The sequence below is a fragment of the Homo sapiens genome, chromosome 2 (genome assembly GCF_000001405.40).
Source record: "Homo sapiens chromosome 2, GRCh38.p14 Primary Assembly".
In the NCBI taxonomy this organism is placed as follows: domain Eukaryota; kingdom Metazoa; phylum Chordata; class Mammalia; order Primates; family Hominidae; genus Homo; species Homo sapiens.
The window spans coordinates 163,346,558-163,353,771 of record NC_000002.12 but is presented as its reverse complement, the minus strand read 5'-3'; the positions used below and the strand labels follow the sequence as shown (position 1 = coordinate 163,353,771).

At 36.6% G+C, this 7,214-nt stretch overlaps 3 annotated features.

Annotated features, from left to right (window-relative positions):
- Positions 1,154 to 1,323: an enhancer, noted in NCBI's record as "experimental_55577 CRE fragment used in MPRA reporter constructs". NCBI's record gives its function as "activates a minimal promoter by MPRAs in K562 erythroleukemia cells, with activity observed for the introgressed 2:164209044 variant allele {active_cell/tissue: K562}" and the evidence as "EXISTENCE:reporter gene assay evidence [ECO:0000049][PMID:34662402]".
- Positions 4,532 to 4,701: an enhancer, noted in NCBI's record as "experimental_55575 CRE fragment used in MPRA reporter constructs". NCBI's record gives its function as "activates a minimal promoter by MPRAs in K562 erythroleukemia cells, with activity observed for both the introgressed and non-introgressed 2:164205666 variant alleles {active_cell/tissue: K562}" and the evidence as "EXISTENCE:reporter gene assay evidence [ECO:0000049][PMID:34662402]".
- Positions 5,194 to 5,793: an enhancer, noted in NCBI's record as "H3K27ac-H3K4me1 hESC enhancer chr2:164204489-164205088 (GRCh37/hg19 assembly coordinates)". NCBI's record gives its function as "activates a minimal SCP1, AML or CMV promoter by ChIP-STARR-seq in naive H9 embryonic stem cells {active_cell/tissue: H9 hESC(naive)}" and the evidence as "EXISTENCE:reporter gene assay evidence [ECO:0000049][PMID:30033119]".

Here is a 7,214-nt window from a genome sequence, read left to right as displayed (position 1 = left end):
GGGCTAACATATGAGATCATTCAGAAACTATTGCAATAATTCATGCAGAAAATATTATTTAACCCAGCAGGATTTGCTCATGGATTAGATGAATATTCACAAGATCATACTAGGCATAATGTTATGTATCTTCTTAGCTTTCTCCTTCACCCTAAATAACACATTATACCTCTGTATTTGTAGCCAGACCTGTATTTTAGAAAGAACACTGAGGAGATAGTATTTGAAGAAAGTATGACTAGAGACAAGCAGATCTGCTAGAAGGGTATTGCAACAATCCTAATGATAGATCATGGTGGTTTGAACCAAGGCAGTAGTAATGGAGATGGAGATAAATCTGTAGATTTAGGATAAGAATTAGAGACTGATTGGTAGTAAGACATGAAAGAAAAGAATGGTTCATACCTTTCTGACTTTAGCAACAGTTTGGGTGATGATACCACTTTAAGATAAGGAAACACAGGAGAAAGATAATAGGTTCAATGTGGGAGACGGGGGAAGATAACATGCATTCAGCTTTGGACCCACTGAATTTAGAGTGCTTGTGGGGTATCTGGGTGGTTTTCAGGAAAGTGTGGGCTTCCTTAACTGTGGGCTCAGAGGGGGAGATCAGGGCTAGGGTTGGAGAGTCAGCTTCAGAGGATAGATAATTAAAGCCACAAGAATAGCTGAGGTCACCCAGCCAGAAAAGTTTAGAATGGGACAAGCAAAGGGTTGAGGACAGAACTTAGAGGAATACCTCTACTTAATGAGTAGGCAGAGGAAAAGGAGTCTAAGAAACAGGATGTAAAAGTGGCTAAAATGAGTTGGGACAAAATTATGAAGGTGAAAGGTAGGAAAGCCAAGGAATGAGAGTGTGTGGTCAACAGTATCAAGTGTTAGCAACCACCACAGTAAATCAAGGATGGAACATAATTCAGTCGATTTAGCAACATAGAACTAGCTAATTTCAATAGCAAGGAGGGAGAATATTACTATAGTTTGCCTACTGGCTTGTCCACTAGATAAAGAGTTCCTATAGCATGCTGCTGTGTTCTTGAATCTTTGTTCAATTTCCACTCCCTCCACCACTTCATGGCATGTCAGACAGTAAAGATTTGAGATTTGACTGTCCGAAGTGATCACTTAAACTTCAACAATAAATCACTGGCTCCATGTTGTATGTGCTATGCCCCTTATTCCTCTTAAAAATATTATCCTCTATTAATTTTCTGTGAGAGACTTAAGAAAATCGGAATATATAGTGTCTTGAATTGCATTTTTCACTTCCTGCTTAATCATAGATGTCTCATCTTATTTTTAGTGCCACTAAGAATTACTATCTTTGGTTGCTAATTGCTATAGAGTCACAAAGTGACAGTTATTTGTGATTTGTACAATCTATTTTGATGACTACACAACTTACATCCAAGGAATGCCACATTCCACTGAGTACTATGTTGGATGACAAGATCATTTTACACTGAATTCCAAGTTCTCTATACTCCATCACTAGTATATCTAGATGTGAATACCCTAATTTGTGAGCTACATAACTCCTTTGTTTCCTTGCAATAGATGTTGTATTAAACTGTCCTTCATACCCAAAAGACAGTGTTCCTTCCCTATAAAGCACCCCATTATACCCAATTGCAGTGTCGGGCTTTTGTAGTCTTTCTCAGAACTCCATTCATGTCCTCTCTAATAAAGGCCTCTTTGTAACATGCACATTAGGGGAACTCCCTAAATCTCAGGTTGTCTGGAAGGAATCTAAAGAGAAGAAAAGGAGAAATGTTAGGATATATATCTGGCGCAAACATACATAAATAAAAGGTTGACTAGTTCAAGATGTTGTTCCGTTTGCAATAATCCCAATGAGATGAAAAATTTGTGTGCCTGTTTTCATCACATTGTTGTGACTATAGTACCTTTCATTGCCTGTCTTAAAAATGTTTACCTACTTACTATACCTTTCACCTTTGGCCTCACTTTTTTGACACAAAAAACTTATGCATATGCAGAGACTAAAAATTTCCATAAGCTCCTTCGTTTCAAATAAAACATTTGCACAAATATAAGGATTTGGGGGGGGGGTTAGTTAAATTTCATACCCCATCTATATAACATTTCGAAAGAAATTAAGTTTGATTTTGAAAACAAAAGCATTTCCTTATTTTATCTAATTTTTAATATTTCTAATGATTCTTTGTCATTTTTTCTATTTGTTACAAGAAAGAGAAAGAAAACATAAAAGGAAATAATGAAAGAGGGAAGAAAGGATTAAAGAAAGGAAGCAAGGGAGGAAAAAAATATAGCGGAAGAAAGTCAGACCAGCGATTATATTAAGCAGTGGCAAATGGTATTCACCTTTTATAGGCTCTATGTTTTATAATGAAGATACTTCATTGAAACAATGATGCATACTTCAAGGGTTCCCTGGAGAGCAGTGAATCCTGTTTGGAGAGATTCATGAATATGTGCATTAGCACAATCCAACTGGAACTTGCCCTTAAAAAATGAACCACAAGAGAAACTGATCAGTTTTTGCTTATGTATATAATCAGAAGGTTATTATATTATCTCCCTCTCCACGGGAAAAGCAGATGCATATTTTTCTACCACCTCAGATGAGAAATGCCAAAGGAAACAACAATTTTTCCCCTTCTGTGATGTTCATTATGTGAAATGCACATGGAGACTTTTTAATACTGGGTCAAAAGAGCAGAAAATAAATGTAGATTCAATTTTTCAAAATTTTTTTTTGCATAAGATGAATCATAAAATAAACCTTTAAAATACACATTTCTGCCTTAACTTGCTGAAGGTCATTAATAAACTTGCACTGAGTTAAAAGATTGCTAGAGATTGCACCTATGAGACAAATATTTCAAAATCAAAGCTCACAAAAAGTTACATGTAACTTTGTGCCCTAAAGATGAATGAGGGACACATGGCAGATCTTGAAGTAGTAGTTTATTTAAAGTACAAAGAATTCCATGAAAAATATTTCTAACCAGCAGTTGGTGCCCAGTTATCATGAAAAATGGCAGATCACCACTAAGCTATTTACAATGATAAAGAGTATCTAGGTATATTTGCAGAATTTATCTGTAAGTTTTTAGCTCCATTAATTTTAAACAAAAGTGAAAGTATAAAAAAGAAGAAACTCAAAGAAATTTGATCATTGTAAAGAAACAACAGAGAGAAACTGTTGTTACCTAAAGACTGAATGGATATTGTTAAATGGTCACCTTCTATGCTTTGCCAAATAAAAATATTATTAGCAAATGTTAATTGCTGAAGGAAACTTGTTTTTTCTCTAGATATGGAGAAAATGGTACGAGCTCAGAAAACACCTTCTCTTATGCTTTATATATTGTTATTTTTATTATATGTTCTTTGCTCTGAATTTGACTATGTCAGTATTATCAGCACGTTCAAACATAGAGGGGAGAAATAATTGTCTTAAAAAATCACAATCATATTAGTGTTAAAAATGACTTAATTCCTGGCTGTCAATTTCTTTTTTAATGTGACAGTTAGTCATTTCTTAGGCATCTGGTAATGAATTGCCAGAAACGGTTTCAATTCATCATTTCTAGTCACCATATTCATGGAGAAAACTGTGTTTAAATTTGTCCATGATGTTCTCAAACTTCTGGATTCAAAAACTTCCTGGACATTTTAAGTTTTTCAAATGTGATTTGAGGGCCTGCACTATTTTCAGTATGTAGGGAAGGGCCAAGGGAACACTGTTAATTCGAGAGGGCACAATATTGTAGTCAGGCATTTAAATTATTTGTAACTTTTCACCAGAAGTCGTATTCATGTTTTGGAAAATTAGTACTTAGCTAAGCTCCAAGGAAGAAAGCATTTTATTTAGTAATAGTTCAAATAATGCAGTAAAAATGTCTCTCTGTGCATTTGAACTGGCCCTTGTGGCCTGATTCAGTGTTTTGCCCATTTTCTCGGCTTTTTGAGCTTCGCACTCACAAGAAATTGTACAAAACACTTAGCACTATTTTTTTCATAGCTGGTAATGGGGCTTTCACCGCACAAAGGCAAGGAAAAATTATTTGGAAAGGTGAACAGGCTTTTAGAAAAACTAGAAAACACTCCTCATACATTTTAGGCTCAGCTTTCTGCCCCTTTCTTGCATGTTTTAAATCTAGCCACTGGGATCCCTGAAATAATATGCTCCTTAATGTTAAATACTGAATATGATCATTCATAACTGGTCCACAAAAACAAATTTCAGAAAGAAGAATGGTGTTAAAGGAAGATGACTATTTACTGATAGTTTTCTTTTTGTGCCTATGTAAATAAAATATATTTATCGCTTTGTTTATTTATCAAACTATCTCAGAATTCACATATGCATCACCAAAAATGTGGCTTTCGGCTCTTTTTGTAAATAGGTCCTATCATAAAGATTTTTAGAAGTTTTATCTTGTACAAAAAGGCAGTTTTCATCAGCAACGCGGCCATCTGTTTAGTGAAAATAGAGCTAGTTAGTGAACTGCAGACTGTGTGTGTGCGTGTGTGTAGAGGAGGTGGCAGTGAGGGAGTAGAAGGTCAAAGGGTAAATTCCAATTGCTGTGACATATTTTTATGAGCTGAATCATACCCAGCTTTTAGCCTTGAAAGGGGAAGAGGATCTTAGAAAAGGGAAGTCACATGCAAGGGCAGGTCAGGAAAATCCTCAAGAAGTGCTCTTCCAAATTAGCTGTTGATTGTTCTCCAACCCGCCATATCCATCCGTTTGAATTTTATTTTATTGTCCCAGGACTTGAAAAGATCTGTTTTCTATTACGCGAAACCCAGTTCAAATTTGTGTGGCAAAATATACAGTTATCTTGGAGCATTTATTTCCCTTTTATACCTTTGATACTGTTCTCCTCGTTGGAGGGGATGAGGGGGTGAAGCCTCCTTGCAAGTGGGAAAGGAGGAGGAGACTACGCGGGAGTTCTACCCAGCACGAGGCTGACAAAGCATTGCTACCGCAGGAAGGAAAATGCTAACGGGAGCGGGAGAAAAGACAGGAGGGGCCCCAGGAACCAAGCCTCGTTAGAGACCCTAACGACTCCACCTTAGCCTCCCCTCCCTGCACCCACGCTCTCTGGCAAATGTAGAGGCTATTTCTGCTTTTTACAAGAGGTGCTGCCGGGGTGGGGAAAAAAGAAGAAGAAGAAAAAGCTGATGCTAAAATCAAGGAAGAAACAGCAGAAGGGTCAGGGGCAGCAGTCAAGGCAGAAGCAGCTGCCGTGGCCGGCCCAGCCACAGTCATCTCAGTCCCAGCGGCGCGGCAGCCAACAGCGGCCGCCGCGGCGACAGCCCGAGTGGCAACAGCTGTGGGGAGGCTCGACTTCTTCCCTACGCCTGTCCGCGCCAGGAGTCAGAGTAGGGAGTCCCTATCGCTCCCATCTTCTGAGCAAGCAAATTCTTCTCATTCCTTCACTCGCGCCTTCTCAGCGTCAGCTGACCCGCTGCTCCCTCCCTTGCTTCGGGGATTGGCGCAACTGTCCGCCCCCACCGCACCGAGAGGCACGCGAATGACACCCGGGGTTGTTCTAGTAGTAGTAGGTGGGCCTGCGGCTTCAGGAGTGCGTTTCCTGAGCCAGCCAGACCTGGGCCTCTTCGGCCTCTATCACCCTGTTGGCTGAACAAAATGCCCGAAGGCGTTTTGGTGGTGCGATTGCCAGTGACTAAACAGGACCTTAATTTTCAAAGTTGATGGGGACAAACCCAGGCATAACTGGAGAGGGTGACCATTTCCAAGGCGTTGAAAGAAGACGAACAAATTAGGCAATTTCAGTATTATCAGAGACAGCATTATGACCCTTTTTGTTGTAAAAGGAACATAAATGTAGCTACAGATTGAATGAAGTTATAGGCCATAAAAGGGCAGGAGAGAAAAGGGAAAAGATAATAGGCACTGTCCATTTGAGCCTGTTACACTTACTGTTTCAAATCTATTCAGCTAGTGTTAGTGACAAATACATAATTTACCGGCAATAATAAATGAGGGAAGGAGTAAGGATAAATATTATGGAACGCAGCTGTGTGTTTAGAATAGTGACAATTGCTGTTTATTTGCTTTTCACTTATGAAAATTACACAGGGCAAGGTCATATGTGAGACATACATCTTTATATTATTTTTTCTCATATTTTTGAAAGTTAGGGTGAGTGGAAGCATTCAACTTTATTTTCCTTATTTAGATAAGCAAATATCAACAAACCTTTCTTAAAAGTGTAGATTTCTTTCTATTAAATACTTAGGCAAAACTGATTGTACTTTTTTTTGGCATTTAGAGCCATCTTGTTTACCTTCAGTAAGGTTATCTTATAATGATTGCTAAATTCTATCCAAAAGCTTATAATATTTCATATACGTTAACTTTAGCTCTCCCATTAAATTATGTATTTCTTTATGTACTTGGGCTTTTCACGAGGATTTTAGGCACATTATTCACTTGCTGGAAAATTAAATTGATTTATGTTTTTCCTCTTCTGTTTTTAAGTATAAACTCTTTAAAGGCAAAACTGGGGGTTTCTCCATAGGCCAGAAACTACTAGACTCACAATGATCCTTATGTAGATGCATTTTTGGTTGGACCAAACAAATAAGTTAAACTTCAAATTTTCAGTTTGTACACTTAGGGTAACTGGTTTCAATTAAATGGGGAAACACTTTTTTTTTTTAATGTTAAAGAACTTAGTGCCTTAAATTTGAAGAGGTAATTATTTGATGTGGTAACAAAAGAATATTAAAGAAGTAACAGTTTATTTTGAAATTTCAAAATGCATTAATTTTATATTTTGATTATTTGAAATGGAGTGGAATATTTACAAGTAAGATTGTATAGTCACATTAATAAATGTGATCAAGTTATTAATTTATATTAGAAAAACAATTATACTACATTTAGATAAATTATTTTACATAAATTTCAGCAACACTTTGAAGCATTTTATAAAAATTTGAAAAAAATTTCTTAAAGACAAGTGAATTGATTGTCAGATAGATCATTGTAATGTTTTTTCCAATGTACTATTAAGGAATTTTTATAAAATGATATATAAGATTAAATACAAATTTATATTTCATTAAGAATATTTTTTCAATAAAAGAAGAAGAAGAAAGCATTTATATATCTGTGGTGAGTTGGGTTAATATAATTTTTGTGTCTGATTTCATTTAGATATTTTATATTTTTATTCTTTGATTTTAGG